The 21386-nt window shown below is 34.7% G+C and overlaps 1 protein-coding gene across 6 annotated transcripts in view; it reads right to left on the reverse strand.

Annotated features, from left to right (window-relative positions):
• Window positions 4241-21386, reverse strand: part of GRB14 (growth factor receptor bound protein 14) — a 129066-nt gene continuing 111920 nt past the window's right edge. For 3 of the 6 annotated variants that reach the window (NM_004490.3, NM_001303422.2, XM_047444013.1), the window contains 8 exons: window positions 20566-20676; window positions 20279-20374; window positions 14079-14159; window positions 9198-9314; window positions 9035-9107; window positions 8832-8919; window positions 6255-6348; window positions 4241-5006 (listed from right to left, as the gene is read on the reverse strand). In NM_004490.3, the coding sequence (NP_004481.2) occupies window positions 4860-5006; window positions 6255-6348; window positions 8832-8919; window positions 9035-9107; window positions 9198-9314; window positions 14079-14159; window positions 20279-20374; window positions 20566-20676 (807 nt within the window). In that variant the 3' untranslated portion in view covers window positions 4241-4859. Of the gene's footprint in view, window positions 5007-6254; window positions 6349-8831; window positions 8920-9034; window positions 9108-9197; window positions 9315-14078; window positions 14160-18547; window positions 20428-20514; window positions 20677-21386 lie in introns of those variants that run through there. The other 3 variants (XR_427085.4, XM_047444014.1, XM_011511022.2) reach the window with 3 other exon arrangements.

Genomic DNA, 21386 nt, shown 5'->3' on the forward strand with positions numbered 1-21386 from the left:
ACTCCTCTCTTTGCTCCCTCTTATCCCTCTCAACCAATTGCTTATGACATCAGTGATGATTAACCCTCCATAAAAATCCCTGTTTCATGCCCATGGCTTTAGAACAGGCTCTCCTGATTATTGTCAAGACTATTACAACCACTCTTTGCTGTGCCACCCTCCTTTGATTCTTTTCTTCATCTTTAATCATCTTATCCACAGTTGCTCGTACAACTCCAGAAATTATCAGCCTACTTCTACCCTCTAGATTGAAGAATAAATTCACTCATTTGTTTGATAAACAATTGTTGAGAACTTATAATGTGCAGGGTAGAGATTAAAAGGTAAATAAAGTTCATTCCAGGTAGAAATTTAATGGGGTAAAGCATTGAGGTACCTGGCTATGCTTTTCCTTAACTAAAATATAAACTGCTTTGCCTAGCATTGAAGTTCCCCCTAATGCCGCAGCCACTTGCTTTTCTAGTCCTATTTGCCACGACTTTCCTCTGTTATAATGAACTGTATATTGAAGTCACAATGAAGTTATCATTTGCAGAAAAACTCTTAAATTCAGTATGTGTCCTTTCCACGCTGCCTGGCATTGCCCCTCTCCCTTTGATGAGACCATACAGTCCTTTCTCCAAGGCTTTGTAAATTGAACTCCTACAGGCCTTCCGGGAACCCACTTTATTCCTCCCATCTTTCAGCAAGTGTAAGCAATGTCTCTCTCCTATTGTATTTATAGTATAACACTTACCCATCCTAACTTCTAGGATAGATACTTGTGTATCTATACTGTATTATTCAATTTTGCATCTCTAAAAGTTCCTTCTACATAATAGGTACTCAATACATCCTGAAGTGAACTTAACAAGCATACAAGACAAGAACATTCAGCTCCTAATCAGATTGCTAACCACAAAAGAGCTTCTGAGGGGGGCAGGGTATACTGAGTGTATAATCAGCCAGAAGAAGGATACATTCATTTAGCTAAAGTCTATTAATTTTTCAGAGATGCACCAATCACCTAGGAAGAGCTTTTTTTCATATTCCCCCACCCAGCCATGCACCATCCCATGCCCTGTACTGTCCAGGCATGAACTCTAAAGCAGGTTTTCAACCTTCTGTATTCCCCATCCTATCAATCACTGTAATTTGGGGAGAGGGGACAGGATGAATGTGAGAATCACAAATCACACTTAATCTTTTTAATCAGCAGGTTTAAAATCACAAATAACACTTAATCTTTTTAATCAGCATGGTGATCTGTATGATCTTGTACAGACGGGCACAATATGGTTTTCCACACAGTCCCTACTGATGGACTGGGCAGCACCCTATTGTGGAACACATGGTTACTTCCATAAAAGCATCCTTATAGAAAGAATTGAAATAAGGGCAGAGGCAAATATGTAATGTACAATATATTGTTCCTGGCAGGAAGAAGAGGTAGCAATGCAATGGCACTCAGTGGAAAGAGCAATGTCCCTGGGAGGTAGAGGACCTAAATGTATGATCGCTAATGTAATAGACGTATATACCAATGAAGATCTAAGCCAATGATTTGACTGGCAAGACAACTTAATAAGTGGTGGTTATGATGGTGGTGGTAGTGATCCCGTCTAGAGATGAAGAAATTGGTTTGACCAAGGCTACATAGCTGCTATATAATGACTTGGAATTTGAATCTACAAGGTATAATACCAGAGCTATAATCTTAACTCTAGTTTCTAAAGTTTTGTGTATTGTGTGATGTTGAATTATTCACACTTACAAAGTATATTAACATGGCAAAGAACTAATCACATGATATCCCAATCGCAGGCAAGTACTTATGCCGGTTAAATTCAGCTGGGCAGATCTCTGCAATGAGCTCTTAGCTGAATATCGTTATGTGCTCAGCCAAGATGTCTACGCAAATAATGTGTCGTGACCTGAGGAGTATGAGATTAGCAACGTTACAAGCAGTGCCCCAGTTATGAGCACTGCGGCTCATATCACCACACATTCCTGTGAATGTCACAGACAGTCAAGCGTGGGAGCCAGGACTGGGCTGCAGTGATGCATCCCACAAGATATAGGCATGGAGGTTTCGTTGAGTGAATTTTCAATGCTACAATAATCTTGTAACAACAAGGTCCTTGAAACAAGTACCCTGAATCTCAAGCAAACTACTTTGTGCCCCACAGGTATTGTAACACCAGGAATCACCCACTCTGTTCTCTAAAGAACTCAAGATGGAAAACTGGAGGTCTTATATGGGCAAAATCAACACAGCCAGGGACACAGCAGGTCACAATATGGCAGCATTTCTACCTTCTGAGAAGGAGGTCCATAGGCTTCACCTGGCTGCTGAATGGATCCAAGACACCATCAAGCTTAAAAGTGGCTGGCAATATAGAGAGCATTTTAGATGGTGGAGCCAGGTTGAAACACCAAGCTGTAACCATTACCCACGACAAACATTTCCTCTTCAGAGAAGTTATGATCCAGGAAATAATCCGACATCACCACCAGAATACAACTACCATGTGTAGAGTTGTCATGATCGGTGTTCAAAAACCAGAGACCATATGAGGCTCTGATTAACTGATGTCACCCACTGTAAAACAGCTAAAACAAAAACATCCATCTAATCTCCTCAAATCAGTCAGGGCTTATACTGTTATCCACATGAAACAAGTAATTGTTCTGAATTGAAGCACTACTAATAGTTTTTATCCTGTAAAAACAATATTTACTAGAGAGTCTACTGTGCTAGCTTCTTTCTGGGAGAGTGAAGCATATTACCTCCAACATGAACAGAAATGGAAGAAAACAGAGACCATTTGTCTTCATCCCTATCCCAAATGGTGCAAGATAACAGAACATGGCTAAATCAAAATGGAAAGTAATCCAAAGGTAATTCACATTTTACTAGGGAATGCACTTTAATACTGTAGTAACCGTGAATGTGTCTGAAATTCTCAGATTTCATGTCATATTAGATTTACACACAGACACACACACACACACACACATACACACACACCCAAGACCCATTTTCAGAAGGAAACAAGAAAATAATGATTTCCCTTTGTCAACCTTTCCTCAATAATGTTTCTTCACTCATACTTTAAGATCAAATTAAGCAATTACATACAAAATCTGAGCCCCTCAATAATACACTTAGATTATGAAGTTAGAGACACAAACAAAGATAAGCACAAATTGGCCAATTTGTAAGAGTTTGGTATTCAAGATAGTACATTTTCTGATATTGTCTGTTTAAACTGGGTACAACCTGAGAAAATGTATTCAAATTCAAAACACAAAGTCTTTTTAAAAATCAAAATTAAATCAGAAATACTCAGGGCCATTCTGAGAGGTTGAAAAAGGCAAGTGTGTTTACTCATGCTGTTCTACTTAGAAGTCCTGTGTGCCTTCCAAGCCTTTGCGGAAACCAGACCAGTATTTTATAACATCAGATTAATGTTCTAAGTTTCAGTGTTTTAGCAATTAGGCTTGCATTAGCTAAAAGTAAGTTAAATCTTTAAAAATTCAATAAATAATTCTTTTTCAGTTATTATTTTATTAGCATTTCATGAATGCTTTCATATACTTTGTCACCAAAAAATATACAGCTTTCATTTAAAACTAAAGTATGCATTTATGAATATTGCTTTAAAAATCTTTCTCGCAATGTTGTCATAAAGGTCAGTTAGAGGAGATGGCCAATAGTTAGTATAATTGTAATGTTTATTTGATGTTTTGTTCCTCATTTTTTAGGAACAAGTAAAATCCTTCCTACAAAAAAATGGGAACAAAAGAATCACAGAATCTAAAAACTATTCCCAGATGGTCTCGAAGAAGTGATAAGGAAGGTTAGTATTTCAAGTTTCAAAATCTTTGGCTTCCTTCTTGATATTGCCTGGTAAGAAACTGAAAAGGGGGAAGGCAAAGAGAAAAAAACAAGGATTTCACTATTAGTATCCTTATAGATTGTGAATCTTTGATTTCACCTATATTGATTTGGTTAATGATCTATTAGTGAAAAGAGCTAAAGAGTGTTCTGAAAGTTAGAGAATGGAGCAAGTGTGAAATGTTAAAGTAACAATGTCACATTGTCATAGATTATATACCATGAGAAGGTGTATGCAAATTACATATATCTCTTCTACATTTCAATTACTTCTTTAAAAACAAGTAGTATTAGCCAATCATTAAATGAATGGAAGAAAATACAATGAAAAACATGCCACTAATGGGTACAATACCAGTATAAATTTTATAATTAACTATTTAATAATATTTTTAAATTACCTGGAAAAAATCAACATATTTCAAAATGGTTTAAAGCTACTATCTCAAAATATGATTTCATTTTAAGATGATCATAAACCCGGAAAATATATAATTCAAAATAGTTTTTAGTTTCATTAACAGGTTGTGGATAGTTTCTTTTAATTGATAAGTTATTATCATATTTCTTAACATTAAAAAATAGTATAATTGAAATTTAGTGCACAAATAATTATTCCTGACTCCCAATTTATTTCATATTTTGTGTTTCAGAATTCTGATGTTGCTATATGGTAAATAAGGGAGACATGTTTTAAATATGCATATTTGAAGAAAATATTATAGCAATGTAAAAATCACACAAGAACACACCAAGTCATTTTTTTCCTAAGGTTTAATTTTAACTAATGAATTTTAAATGATGAATGTAAAGTCAATCCAAGTCTTTGCTTATTTGCAATGCACAAACTATTTTTTTGTAACTTGCAGGTGAAATACATTCTTTTCACATGGTAATGTTTTCGCCCTTATTTATGGTCTTTTATTATTTTTCTTGAGTCCTTTTCCTTCAATAGTTTAATAAGTCACTTCTGGCTTGTCTAGAGAGCAATCCTAGCACAATAATGTTTCAACTTGCAAGGAAGAACGCCCTTATTGAGTTGATAGAACTCCACCAGCTGTATTAGATCTGTAAATCTTGTGTGGCCATCATCCAGTGTGTGGAACATTTCACCGTCATCTTCTACCTGCAAAAAGAAAAGCAACAAATAAGTAAAGAGGATAAATTACACAGAAGGACAATCATATTCGATTGCAAACTATCTCCACATGCCAAAACTGCCAAGTTTATAAAACTAAAAGACAGTGAAAAGAATGTTACGGCATATCTACTTGTTTTTTTTAACATCACTTGCATTTAAAAGAAATATCAGCTGATCCCTGAGAAGCACTGCTACTCTACTTCATCTAGTTCTAATTCTCCCAGCATTCTGTTAGTAAAGACAGTATGAATATTTTGAATCAATGAAAGAAATCTACAATATTCAGAGTAAAAGTAAATGAAGATTTTAATGCTCCCACTTGAGAAATTAATTTCCTTTTCTAAATGTTGTCTACTTAGCCACAAAAATGAATATTTACATAATTTTATGAGATTTATTCTGAAGTAATCACATATTATGCTAATGGAATGTCATTCTGTCAGTTTTCTTTTTTTTAAATCAGTGAAGTCTTCTGGTACTAAACAATTCGTATTTGCTGGGGACATTGATCACAAAATAAAAGAAGTAGGGAGGATATTTTATATAGCCTTTGGATAACTCCAAAAAGAGGCAATTCAAAAGGACGCACTAGTAATTTAGCAATACTATGGAATACCTTTCCAAAAAGACTGAATCTTCACTCCCCACCATTCAGTTCCAATATACTATACACATCACATACATACATGCACACCCACACAGACACACAGCAGAAGAGGCAACAGAAATCCCAAAGCAAGTTGTGTGTCACAGAGAAGCCGAATCACAGAACTTTTAAAAATGTGTTCAGAAGTCTTCACCAGTTCCATAGAATCTCTGTTTCTAGCCATAGCCATTAAAAACAAAACAAAACAAAAAAAACATTTTTGAGAGAAGAGAGGAGAAAAGGCTTTAAAGTAATGTTTTCTAAAGAGCCGTTAGTGGAATTCAGGAGAAAGAAGCTTTAGTGCCCTTTTAACAATAGGTGGCATGGGGTCTATACAATATTGCTAAATCATATTTCATAGAAAAAGGAAAATTTAATTTTTACAATTCCTGTATTTCTTATATTAATTCAGGCTCATAAAATCATTTCTGCCAAAGTTAACTCTAGTCAAAGCACAAGCTGCCAAATTATATTTAATAAAAAGACCAAAAGAAAACCAAAGTTTCCAAAAGCTTATGCATTAAGATCAAAAGCTTATGCATTAAGGTCATTTCTAATACACAAATGTGAAATCACGAATTACTTACTGGTATAATTTGAAAGTGCTTTATTTTTTGTCCATGACTCATTGACAGTACGAAAGTTTTGGGGTTACTCTGACTATCCCGTACCAAGAAAACTCTAAAGAGAGAGAAGGAATTTCAATGTTTCTATATTTACTCATGGATTTCATAGAACTATAGCATTAATAAATCCAAGAAGTGTATGCATAAATGTAGCTGGGGACTCCTTTACTATGTATTCAATGGGTGGGATTATCCAACTTGGCAATCAATATGGTATAATATAATCTGCACTATAAAGCTGTCATCACTGCTACTGTAATTTTAATAGGCTAAATACACAACCCATTAGTCAGATTGTTTGTTTGATCACAATAAACAATACACTGTTATGTCTGCATCAACAATTGGTGCTACGTTCTCTTTGCACTGGGAAACTGGGTATTCACATGTAACTGTTTTGCCTAAAGATTAAGGCATTTTCATACTGTTATTTTACCTTCTGGGTCATGTTAAGTTTTGAAAGAAGGTAAGAATTTAGAATGAATTTTTTTTTTTCTTTTGAAACAGGGTCTCGCTCTGTCACCCAGGCTGGAGTGCTCTCGGCTCACTGCAATCTCCGCCTCCAGGGTTCAAGCAATTCTCCCACCTCAGCCTCCCAGGTAATTGGGACTACAGGCACATGCCACCAAGCCCAGCTAATTTTTGCATTTTTAGCAGAGACAGGGTTTCACCATATTGGCTGGGCTGGTTTCGAACTCCAGACCTCAAGTGATCCGCCTGCCTCGGCCTCCCATAGTGCTGAGATTACAGGCATGAGCCACCACGCCTGGCCTGAAATTTTATTTTATTATAACCCCCTCTTCTATACTGGATACCCTTTCTTTTGATTCTGGTTTCAACTGTTCATACACAATAGCAAGAAAGAAATCAATATATTGTTTTAAAAAAATCTTGAAATTATTTATTAAATATTTAAGCAAAATGCTTTAAGTAAAAAAAATCATCCAAAAAACACATACTTTAACCTTGAAGAATGCAGCAGAAAAGCCTCTATAATGTCAGGCTAGAAAAACAAGACATGGCCTCTAACAGCCTAAGAGAAAAATGCTGCCAGAAGTGGATTCTTATTCACTGGCAGTGCAATGCAAAACCAGTTTTGTATTAACTGCTGGTAAATACACCGTGTAAATGATCCCCACTGGTGAATCCAATATGAATCTCACTGTGCCTGGGCAAAGAGGCAGCCAAATTTAAAGCATCACAGATGTCTGACGAGTTTATCCATTTCATTTGTGCTGTGTGAGATTCCGACATTACATCACTGGGAAATGGGACAAAAGGGCGTTTCACTGGTAAATCAAGCTGTAATTCTTTTCCCATTCCCAAGTAGATCACCACTACCACCTAGTGGATCACTTGGCACCATCACATCTCTCCAAAAGAATACCAAAAATACTAAAAATAAGATAGTATCTTTTTTTATACGATCATTTCATTCACTTTATAAATACTGGGCTCAGAAATAAAGAAAATTACAATCTTTCAAAACATTTTAATAATTCTTTGTGACTCATTTATTTTCTTGGTTTCATCAGATTGTAATTCTACTGATTGTTCAAATTTATTTCCAAAAAGACTGCATTCCATGCAAAGAAACGTATTAAAATATCTTATTTACAGTCTGGGGAAATGCTGACTTCCTATTAATAATCTTCCATGTGAAGAAGCATTGTTATCCAAATTTCAGTATTAAATCACCTTGAAATCTTGTCATGATAATGACATGATTAGCCAACTTTTGAAGATAAAAGATCCCATCACCACTTGTTTAAATTGATAATGATTTCATTACTCATCTAAACCACAATACAACCTCCCTCATTTGTACTGCATTTGGAAAGGGAATTCAGCCAGTATTATAGAAAGTATCTGAAACACTGAGTAATTTGAGAAAAATAAAATTCTTCACATTATAAATCTTTCATAATACATTTTATATTTCTCTTTTGTATTCCATGGTACCCCACTAAAAGACAACATGAGAAACAGTTGAAAGGTACTCTTTTCACGGATCTATATTACTTTAAGATGTTAAAATTTAGAGAAAGGACAATAGGGATGTAAACACACAAAAAAATAAGTGTTCAAAACACTTAAGAAACAGCTTTTTACTTAATACATGTTGCATCATACCTAAAAAAATACATTTGACATAATGTCATAATATAAACCATACTTCGAAATCATATGTTCAAATCAAAATATTGACACTTAAAAAGAAGTTCATTTTCCCCCATCAATTGATATCTGAGATGCTAGAATCAGGACATAATGGGTAATATTAGTGATCACTGGTTAAGAACAAGATACTCTATTCCGTTATTTGTCCATTTATATACAAATACCAGACACACACTATGTACCAGGTATAATATAGATACTGTTAGAATACAGTGATGACCTCATTTATAGAACAATGTCACTTCTGTTTTATGATAAGCCCAAATCAAGAACTCTTTGTGGCTATGGAATAAATAATTTCTGCTTATAGGAGAAATCCAATTCACAAGTACTCAAAATTAAAAATACCAAACTTACCCATCCACAAGTCCTTGCTGAATAATCAATCGCTGAGCCTCATCTCTAGAAATTTTGTGGTGAAACCATGGCTGGGACCGGTGGATAGCTAAAGAAATAGGATGGATGAATGCAAAGCTTTGTTTGAGATGACTGCAATTTCATTACATGTCCTTTCCATGTCTATCCGTCTACTCAGTGGCAATGACTATGAACAGACATACCCATGTTTGTGGCAGAGCTCTGTGAAGAGGCAGTGGGGCTACCGTGAGTGCCCAGGCGTAAACATCCTTTTTTCTGAGCAAGGAAGGAGAAAACAAATCTCAAGTTTTTAGGTGAAACAAACTGAAATCATAAATATTTTGAAGCATGTGAAGCTACTTGTACCCTCCAAGCGAGTCCTTCTTCAACCGCAACTGAAAGGGCTTCAGTGGGATTTTCTATAACTCTGCTTTTCTGGCCTGAGAAGTCCATTGCTACCAGGGAATTCTCTGATATACTTCTCTGGAAAAAAGAAACACATTTGAGTTATGAAAATTTCTTTGAAAGTTATCTTTCAAATAAATTGAAAGTGTTTTTCAATTTCAGTGTTTTTCTCTCAGTGTTTTTCTGGCAGTACATTTCCATTCTAGAAGGTGGTGCCTGAAGGGGCTAGCAGAATATTTAAAGTGAAAATACATATTCAAGATATAAAGGTGCTAAAAATATTTTTGTTAAAAAAGCTAAATAGTAATTTGTTAAGGTAATTGAAGAGTTGAATAAACAGATTAAAAGCTTTTAAAGTATGTCTTTCTTCTAAAACAAACTTATCTTTTCACGTTCTCTAGTAAAATGGGAAAACTTCCATTTAGAAAGGAATAGCTCTTCCTCTGGTTAAAAAGATACATTGTTTCTGAATTGATGTCTCCATTAAGCTTTGAGATCCGTCAGTCATCAATTAAATGTCAAATCCATCTACTTATGAAGCAACTAGTTTTTAAGATTCAAGATACCCAAAAGTTATAACTTAGATTGACATATATCTCTTGAGAAATAATACTCATTATTTTTAATGAGTTTTATAATGGAGCAAACTAGAATATGTATTTTAAAAGTTTATCACATCAACTTTCATCTTACTTAGAAAATAAAATTTAGTGAAAGAATAATCCTGATAATTCCATAACCTTAAAATTTCCATGATTTAACATATGAATACATTTTCATCTTGTGAGAATACACTTGGCCACATGAGGGCTGCAAAAATAAGCCTGAATAAGAACTGATAGAAGGCAACTTTAAAGAAACTTAGTTTAAACAAATGATAAAGTCATTGTTTTTGCTAACTACTTCTTGTATTTATATTCTTTGAGTTGAAAGTAAAATATGCAAAACCCGATCTTCTTTTTCTTTTTTGTTTGTTTGGGGCTCTACTTTACAACCATCTTTTAACAAATATGCCACCCCACAACAAGTCATGAATCCTAAGAAAGACCATTGTCAAAATCTCTAGTCAAGAATCCCACTCAGTTCATAAGTTCATACAACATCAAGAAGGAATTAAAATTCTCCAAAAGAAAAATTTTAAAACACCCATGGAAAATAACAGTTATTTTCTACTAATTAATAGAAGAGCAAAACCCAAAGTGGTGTTATAATAGTAAACTACTAGCCAGCCTGCATCTGGGGCCCCCTGGCTTAAAAGCATTTTATCTCTCTTTATGTAGATTCAGCTATACCTGGCTTGGTTGCATAGACTATAGTCAAATGTAGGCTTCAAACAAAACCTTATCCACAGATAACTATAGGACTCCTTTATCACTGCTTCAACATATCCCACTTTATTAGCATTTGTAATTTTCTCTTCAAACTATGCTGTAGTGGCCTACAATCTTATTATGGTTCATCTATATTTCTAAAGATCTGGCATGCAATCTTTCATTTGTTACAGGAGCCTTTATAACTGACAGCTGCTCTTTCCACACAGATGCTGTCTCTGTAATCTCTATTTGCTGTCACACCTTAGTTTGCCCTTCTCACCCCGTGATCTTCTGTGCAGGTCTGTAGACCAGTCAGATATACTTGTGCTTTGCTGACATTAATGAAAAGCATCCACCTGCCCAAACCACAGAGTAAGCTTCCTCAATCATAATAGCTTTATCCTTATAATATCTCTCCGTTTACATGCCAAGGTAGGTTCTGTAATCTCAACTCCCTGGCAACATAAAAATACCATTATATTAAGAAAAAAATAATCAGCTGTCCTATTTTTCTCCCTCTAGTATAGCAGGCCAGGAAATAAAACAAGATCCTGTGTTCCCTATTTACTTGACATACATAAGAAGACGACACTACAAATAAGGAACGTTTTCATTTGCTACATTAACTAGATTAACGGAAAACACAGGACTATAGCAAATGTCTTCTACTGAATGGCAGGTGGTAGATAGAAAATTAATAGTTTACCATTGGTGGACAAAAAAATGGAAGTAAAGCAGAGTCTGACAAACTCAAAAGGTCATTTTCAGATCAATTTCTTTCACATAGAAAAGCAATGTTGATAACATTCAGAATTGGTTATATTTCTCCAACACTTCTCCCCTTTTCTAGCTCTTCCTTCTTAGGAGATGAACAGAGAAGGCCCTAAAAAAGGGGTCCATGATTTTAATGGCATGACTTTCTTTCTTTTTAAGAAAAAAAATAGGTCTGGGTATACCCTGGATTATCCAGCCCATACTTTGAGATCACATCTACTAATTCTTAGTGAGGCTGCACATAAAATGGTTTTTCAGGAAGTTTGGCTAGGTGACAACCAGTATCATCCCATTTGAAGGATTTAGATAAACTTACAGTGCCATCATTAGCAAAAGGGCACACAATTTCTTCAGATATTTTTCTCTCATTTGCTTTATACAAAGCTACAGACATCAGAAATGTAATGGTTTCTAGATTATACAACCATCACCCTCATTTTACACTGCAGGATACCAGTGACTTGACCAAAGTCACACAGGCAGCTTATGGTAAAAGCAGTAACAGATATGTCTGTTGTAGGGTTCTTTTATGTTCCATAGAGTGGGAAATACAGTGGAGGAATTGCAGTTTAGAATGTCTATCCTCAGGTCAAAAGTGAAGCATAAAAAGAGCTTGAGTAGACTCGCCTTCCCCAACCCTCCGTCCCCTCACTCCAGCCAGGGCAATATTGATAAATGCTCCTTTAAATGAATCCTTTGTTTTCCCTAAAAAGGACCAAATATATTTGGCTTCCTGAAATGTCTGCTGCTGATTGATTCTCACTTCAAAGGCTGATGGGGTGGCTGTTACATCCTTTATATAGCTAAGATGTTCATTATGGTTTGAGAATTTTTTTTCTCATTTCCTTTCTCAAAATGTATACCTGGAAAAGTTAGGAAAAGAAAGAAAATAATATTGTTCCTTTAAAAATATAACTAAAGTTTTATACTACAATATATACTAAAAACTTATATGTTAATCGCTGAAAATAGTCCCCGGATGAAAAGCAACAAAGGCTGGTAAAGAGTACTGGCATCTTTTAGGCCCCTGATTCTTCCCAAATAATCTGGAAAAGTGAGATTTTATAGAGACACCAAAGTCAACACAACTACTTCCCAAAACAGATTCTAAGTTTCCTTCATGTAAATTAATAATATTAAAGATGTAATTCTCACATACTACTGTATCTGATTAGGACAAGTGCTAGACAGGATGGTTCTTTACCACACAGGCACCTGCATCCTCCAACTGCTATTCCCAACCAAACTCACTCAAGGAGTATCTCTTCCTTTACCTGGCACTGAACAAGGAAAGCTACACTAAACTGTTATCCACATCTAGATCAATAGCAGCATCACCTTCAATGGAAAAAGACAAGGGTAATACCATACATGTATGCTGACAGTGATGAGAATAGGAAGAACTTCATTTATAACCATTTTTCCTATGATTAAGAGGACATTAAATAATTGCCTCCAAATATTTGGCTGCTATTAACATGTTCATCCTAATAATTTTGGACTCTAAAAGAAATTTGGAGGAGTTTAGGAAAGGATTAATATAATAAAATTCATTATTATTTTTATATACATATGAATTGAAAGATAAGAGTAAGCTGAAAAAATGTAAAAACATTCATCTTAACATGATTGCTTTTATAAAAATTCACTGTGCCCCTTAGTTTCTTATTTTAGGGCTTAAAAGTAATACCATACAAAGATGGAAAGTTATTCTTCCATAAGTTAAAGTGACGTAACTACAAAATTGGAGTTCTTTTTCTATATAGTCTATCAGGTTTCATAATCAACATTATTTCATGCTTCATTCCTAGAACTGAGCATTTCATCTACTACATTACATGTGGGATAAATGCACCTTCCCTGGTCACATACATGAAGAGCATATTTTTAACCTAAGTGAAAATGTAGATTAAAAAAATGCACATTAACTGATTTGTAACACATGTGCATACATCTGAATTCCTAATATACCCTATCTTAAGGAGTGCAGCAAAAATAGCAGAACATAAATCTTAAGTTCAGAAATACATTTCTTATGTTAATGCACACAAAATTAAAATTAGATCCTAAAGAAGGAAAAAGATGTGTCTGTGTGTGTCTGCAAATAAATATCCAAGTTACATTTAGTATAAGTCTGAAAAGCAGTGCTAGAGTTAATGTAACACACGACCTATATTTTGGCTTGCAGTTTTTGGGTTTCCTGGAAAGCAGTCTGCTTTTAAAGGACCTGGAACTTAAAAAAATTATTGTTAGCCAGAATGCAAAAGAGCTCACATGTGTATACTGTAGCTTTTAAAATTCAAATCACTGGCATCTTTATACTAGATTGTGACAATCCCAGAATCGGTATTAAAATAAAATATGAAACCACAATCAAAACCAATAATTAACAAAACACAATCTACAATGCCAAGGAATATGTTCTATAAATTATATTTTTAAGATCTAATCTTCAAATGTTGTAATGACACAGAAAGACACATAATTGTTTCAAATATTTAAAACTTTAACATATACTATTATATATTTTATTAAATACTTTATGTATAATGATATGATTTTATCACATAGATTGCAAGCAAATAAAATCCAAAAATAAAAAATTCAATGTAACATTATACTAGAATGGTGCCAAAGAGTTACTTTACCAACAGAAAATAACATAAATTATTATAAGATACTGTTATGTAGTGTAATTTAAATTAATATAATGTGAATGTAAAATAAAACACAGGCTCAAAAATTTGGTCCTTACCATAGGTGATATGCTCTGTGAACTGCAGCCACTTCTACCTTGATATGGATGCATATAATTCTGGTACAGCTGCATGCCATACTGCAGAATAAATAAATAAAACACATTCCCACCACTTTTACTACTCTGATAATCTATGAAAATCAACACTTTCATCAATTATACAATATAAATATAAAAACAATTAAAGCAAACAAGTAAAGCAACCAAAATTTTGAAAGATGAACTTTTAGTGCCCTGCAACAATACATTTAAAAAGACAATTGAAGTCTTTTACTTAGACCTACAACTTAAGGTCCAGCTCACCAGTACAGACTTCAGGAGCTGACATATCTACTCATTATTCTTAGCACCAAATTGTACCACAACTATCTGGAGTAGTACACTGCCTCATGATAAAAAAAAAAAAACTCACTTGGGAAGGGCGATGTGCTTTCTGGTACAAAGATTCCAAAAACTTCACACACATCCTAAGCAACACTGTGCAAAATTTATTGTACCTCTCTGATGAATGACTAATGATTTACTTTCCCTCTGGTAAATCCATAAACATGGGCCTATGTTGAAAATTATTGACAATATAGCATCCTTATATCAAAACTATTAATGCCATTATTAATTTTTTACTTCAAATTCCTGGAAACCAAAATAGTGAGGAATCAAGCTGATTTCAAATGAAAGCTTTCAAGGTACAATATAAGTGGTAGAAGATAAGAATTTCAGTGTCTTCACTTTCAGGAGGCAGCATCATATGGATTGAGCTGGCAGGACAGAATTGGAAAACCGGTCTGGATTATAACTGGATTATTAGTTTGAAAAACAGTAAGAATGCCAACTGCCAAAACCAAACTTGTCCTGGAGGTTTCCACATCTGAATTTGGAAGCTAACCTCCTTTAGGTTTAAGCTACTTTGTTAAAAAAAAAAAAAAAAAAGAAAAGAAAAATAAAACAATGGAATAAACAGCCTTTTTTCCCCTAGATTCTGCAATTCTGTCCATTTCATAGAGCCATAATGAACTTAAAAGTTAGGTTTTATATAAAAGAGATTAAATAGACACCATGGAATCAAATCTTACCTGAAGGATAAATTCTATTTAAACATTCCAGCAGAGCTGTTTTTCTACTAAAGAAAAATAGTCATTCCCTTAAAAGCAATTCTAGCACAATGGGTATATTTGGTAATTAGGCAAAAAAAAAAAAAAAAAAAAAAAAAAAAAAAAAATCAGAGGAGGTCTAAAGGAGTCACTGTTTTCAAGATTTTGCTTTTAACATGAATGCAAACCCACATTCATTTAAAATTCTCTGTGTTGACTTCTTATCCAATTATTTCCCAACTTCTAAAAATTATTTTTTAATTTAAGGTTTGATTGACATTAATGGGACCTAATGAAATTTATTTCAAATCAACTCTAAGCCTACAATAGCTTTAAAAAGAAGGCAAAGGAGCTTAATTCCTAGTCAAATTCATTTTGGAGAATATATAATAACCTCAAACCAACACTTTCACAAGAAACATGCTGTTTGGCCACCTTTTATTAATCTGCATTGAAAAGCCAGCTGCCTACTAATAAGTCTGTTTTCTTCAAAGATATATTGTCCCTGGTACCTGCAGTGTTAGGTAGTTGCCTCTGTGCTTCTGAAGGTCTTTAGTAGGCATTTAACTCTGGACAAGAGGTAGGGCGGGGGTCACCTTAACATTTCCCCATCCTATGGAGGGGCAGATAAGGGACCAAAATATGTTAGAGAGGACCTTGCAGAGTTCTAATTGAAGGGAAGGAAAAGAGACAACATGTAACTAGGACATTACATGTGAGAAAATCTCCCATTTTCTAAGTCTCAGATATTCTATAATTCTATATGTAATTAGAATTTATCCAAAGAGAAAAAGAGAGTCTCCATCTGATCCATATGAAGACTTTACATATATATAAAAGAAAAGGACGTAAGAATAAAACAAGTGGCCAAATTCTTGGTGGGAGGCTGTTTCTAACAAGTGGTGTGTGATGAAAAAAGAGGGCACTCTCGGTTTAGCCAAGATAATATCTCCTTGTTCATTCCCGCTAAGTACAATGGTAAACGCTGGAAATAACACAGTAGACAACAAAAGAAAACAAAGTAGGTGTTAAAGACACTTCTACCATCAGGTGATCCCAGCTGCACCAGCCAGGGGGATCCAACAGGAGGAGCCCTGCTGACAAGAAGTTGCCAGGGAAGCCAACTCACTCCACCATTAGAATGCCACAAGCGTGTCTGTGTTGTGAGACCTGGAGCAAGCCCTGGCTTCCTGTGATCTGGGTATTTTACAGTGTAAAAGAGATCATATCATGTCTCTTTCCTGTTTGGGTTCTCACAGGTTCCAGATAAAGGGCCTCACAGATGCCTCCTTCCCTCTTCAGCCTCATCTGGAAAAGCTTCGCCATTATTGAAATGAACAGGAAACATGGATGTGGTAGGTAGAATAATGGTCCCCCAAAGATGTCCACATCCTCATCTCCAGAGCCTATGTTAAGCTACATGGAAAAAGGGAATTAAGGTTGTCAATCAGCTGATTGTAAGGTGGGGTGATGGTCCTGGATTATCCATGTGGGCCCACTGTAATCACAAGGGGCCTTAATAAGTGGAAGGGAGAGGCAGAAGAGGCAGTACCAGGGAGATGGCAGTGTGAGAAATACTTGCTGTGACAGTGTTGGCTTTGAAGATGTTGAAAGGGCCCCCAGACAAGACGTCTGGGTGGATTTTAAAGGCTGCCAAAAGGCAAGGTAACTGGATTCTCCTCTAGAGCCTTCAGTAAGAAATGCAGCTCTGCCAACACCTTGACTTAATCCAGTAAGACTCATTTCAGGCTTCTGAACTAAAGAACAATAAATTTATGTTGCTTTAAGTCACTACCCTGGTGGTAATTTGTTACAGCAGTCATAGAAAACCAACACAATGACGCATCTTTGAACTGGGAATCTGATTGAAAGATGCCTTAAGAACAGTAAGATGAGAAAAAATAGTGAGAAGGGAACATTATTCCAGAAAATAAGCCTCATTGAAATGGAAGAATTAAAGAAAGCTTTTAGTGTATTTCACCCATTTTTAGATGTGCATTTCGAAATTTAACATCTATAAATTCAACTGCATCCTATAATCTATAACATCTTACATTCACTATGGACCCAGTGATTTGTCATTGCCCGAAACCTTTGGTGGGATCAAGAAATCACCAGCATCAAACCTTGCACACGCAATATCAGTGGAACACAGCCCCATGCCATATCCTGTGGAAAATACAGGTATCTGTGACTCTGAGATGAAAATGATTCAGAAAAGCCAGGCTTAGAATAAGAAGAAGTTTTAAAGATACCTCAATTAATGTATTCTACTTATATATTTTATTTTATATTTATGTGTGTATATACTTAATGCATATATATGTGTATGTGTAAAATACATTTATGTCCATATGTATATACATCTGAGTGTATACAAACAAAAGTGATTAAATTACAAAAATCTAGGTTCAAATAAACCTAACAAAACTATCTGAATAAATAAAACAAAAATTGTAAGTGATATGAAAGCATCATATCATCATTTTATTGGCATCATTTTTTTTCCTTTTAATGCTAATAAAAATAGTGATGTCTCCTGGTAAAAACCAATGGCTTCTTAGATTAAGTGAAATGCTGATTAAAGGAAGTGGGCTTACCACCTGCTTCTGTTTTGGGTGTCAAACTTTAAGCCCAAGTTAGAAGGGAGGAAGATGGGTTAACAAGGTTGAAGAACATCCTCTTTGCAGCCTAGCCTGATTTCCAGTTTTGAAAAACAGAGAAAACCAAAAACCACAAGAAATTTTCTCTACCATAACTCTTGATGGAGTAGAGCCTTCCAAAGAGTACCAGCCTCTTTATCTGTAAAACTGGAGGGCTGGACAAAGTTAGTAGTTCTTATTCAGAATCCTTAAGGATGGGGCGGGGACCACATGTAAATTCAGAAAGCTTCTCAGGTGACTTTAACAGCAGAATATTTGAAAAACAAGCAAACCTCTCATAAAGAAGTAAACATGGTGGCTATCTGCCAAAACAGCAAAAGAATGTAAATTTCAGTTAAACAAAAAGCTTCATTTAAATCATTTGTTAAAACTTTCTTCCAATACCACTTCACATCCACTAGAATGACCATAATTGACAAGAACAAGAACCAAAAAAAGTAAATAACAAGTATTGACAAATATATGAAGAAATTGGAACTCTCATGCATTACTGGTAGGAATGCAAAATGGTTCAGCCACTGTGGAAAAACATTTTGGCAATTTCTCAAAAAATTAAATGTACAATTACCATACAATAAGCAATTTCATTACAACATGTATTCCCCCAAAATCGAAAACCTGTACTCAAACAAATACATATACACATATTCATAGCAGCACTATTCACAATAGCCAAAGGTAGAAACAACCTAAATGTCCATCAGTGAAAAAATGGATAAACTGTGTTTATCCAACATATAGATAGATATAGAGAGCTATATATACAATGGAATAGTACACAGCCATAAAAAGGAATAAAGAGCTAACATATGCTTCAATGTTGGTGAACCACAAAACACTATGCTAAGTAAAAGTCAGAAACAAAAGGTCACATACTGTATGATTCCATTTATATGAAATACCTACAATAGGTAAATCCACACAGACAGAGGCAAATTGGTGATTGCTAGGGTGTGGGAGTAGCTGCTTAATGGGTATGGAGTTTGCTTTTGAGGTGATTAAAATGTCTTGGAACTGAATGCACTAAACGCCACTGAATTATTCACATTAACAATAGTTTGATTAATTTTATATTTTGTGAATTTTACCTCAATTTAAAAATTGTAAGAATACAAAATAAAACTTTCTTCTAAACCTGGTATGATAATGATTCTGATTATTACTATTCTGTCCTTCTTTACCCTGATATCTCTTAAGTTGGATGCTAGGAAAAAGTCAACAGAGAGCAGAAGAGGTAAAAATGGCAAAGGCAGAAGAAAAAAAGTACACCTGGAAAATATACAAACTGCAAATCAATTGAAAAGTTTACTTCATCCCCTTCTTCAGGGTAAATGAAATGGGGGAACCTAAGGACTTCACAGTGCTCCAGCTTCTCTGATTTTCATTTCTAACTATATTGAAAAGCTAGTTTTAGTACACGCATTGTTAATAATCTAAATCTTCCTGTGGTAAGAAAAGGATTATATATATCTAATACACATATAATATGCATAATCAATATATTGGCAAATTATATTAGTGCCTAGGCATAAATTATAAAGAGTACCTTAGAAAATGTTAATGCTCTTATTTTAAACCAAAAATTTAATAATAACAATAAATTATGTATTTTGTTGGCTTCAGCAGCAGCAATACTAACTAATGTGGACGGGCACTTTCCCTGGATTGTATCTTTTCAACAACAAAATTTTGTAATTTCCTCCCTAACTGTGACTACCAAATCAGTATCTTTAAAAGGAAATAGTTGATAAGTATACAGTTTAAGTTTTGCTCAATTTTCTGGCAAACAGTTTTTGAAAATAAATATGCTTTCTATACATTCTGGAAGACATCAGTTCTGCTTTTATTTCCTATGAGAGTCTACCTTTAGAATATTGTTACTCATTTCAAAATTGCTCAGCAGCAACAAATTATGCTTACGGAAGTTGTAATTTCTACTTAGCACGAGAGTAGATGTTTAAAAAATATATTCATAGTAAAATTGTACAATAATTTGAGTCATGCTTATTAAACTAGAAAGCAATTTATAAAACACGAATCGAACACAAAACAGTTACATTAAATATCTCAAGGGTGGGCACATTTTAAAATACACTTTACCTTGGATTGTTGGCAACGTTTTAAGAGTGCAGACTTAGTCATGTATAGGAGACATTTCATTCAGTTACACTGGCTATGTAATACCTTCACAAAAGTGAAAATCAGAACATTTCTAGAAATGGAATACTTACTCCACACACAAAACAGAAATGTATTAGGTTATTCCACTCTACTCCGAAAATGTTTATCATTTAGAATTTTAAAAACATACACATTTGGTGGTTATTTTTCTTCTTTCTCATGTAGCCACCCAGTGAGACTTCACGTTCTGAAATACAGATATTTTCTAACTTTTATGGTACTCACAGCAGTTAATAGAAATTCATGCCTCCGGCGAGATTACCTTAAGCAATCTAATCGCGGTCACCCAGCACGTCCTACTCTGCTCTTCTTCTGCACAGAGCATTTTCAGGTCTCGGGGCCCTCCCGCTTTGTTAGGCTAGAAGGCCACAGCACATTGTTTATCGTTAATGCATATCTTGAAGGTAACACCTGTTGAAATAAAAGCCACTAAAATTCTCCTATATATAAGAGAAAGCTGTCTCTTTTCAAAAGCAATTAAAGGAAACTCAAGCTTACCTAAAAGGCTGAGGCTTGCTTTATTCATCTATCAAAATATTAAGCCTGTACCTTAAAGCAGAATCCATAGTTAGTCGGTGCTCCATGTTTTTTTTTGCCTGCCAGTGACACATAAATATCACTATTGCCAAATTCGCTGAAAAACTGCAAATGCCGCGGTTCCTTAAAAAAAAAAGTATTGACATGGATACATATTTTTGCATTATCTTTTTTGTGTGTTTATATTATATAATTTATACCTTGGGCAAAAACTTATGACCAACAGAAGTTCAATATGATGCCACAAAAATAAAAGGAGAAAAAAAATCTAAGCTGCCATATCTTTAATTAACCAGGAGCTGGATACAATTTTATTTAATTTGAGAAGTGAAAATTTTGTTTATAATTTAATTTCCAATAATATAAATAAATTCCTGTTTTAAACTTCCGATTCTCTTTAACCACCATTTCAAGGAATCTGAGAGAGAAAAAAGTTAGCAAAGATTGGCTTTTGGAAACGTATTCCTCATCCAGCTTTCAAATAATGGTAGCTCAACAAAGGGGAGAAGGTTGGTTTGAGCTTCCATAGCAGTTAGAGAAGATAAATGAGAACAAGACAATGATTCCTGCTTCATTCACACACAGTCATCCCTCACATTTGTGTACAGTGGAACACACCACAGGAAGCAGCGACTCTAACTTTACAAAAGGAAAGAAAGAAAGTCTGTACAGATAGATGAGTTCAGGGAAATTAGCTGGCAGAGGAATGTTTCTGATTTTCAACGCAAAGTGGAATCATGAACAGCTATTTCTTCTCTGGGAAATCCATGAGATTTAAAACTGGTCATGGGAAATCACTAGGTCATATTATTCTGTGATAGGTTAATAACTTG

This window comes from Homo sapiens, chromosome 2, assembly GCF_000001405.40.
Source record: "Homo sapiens chromosome 2, GRCh38.p14 Primary Assembly".
NCBI lineage: Eukaryota > Metazoa > Chordata > Mammalia > Primates > Hominidae > Homo > Homo sapiens.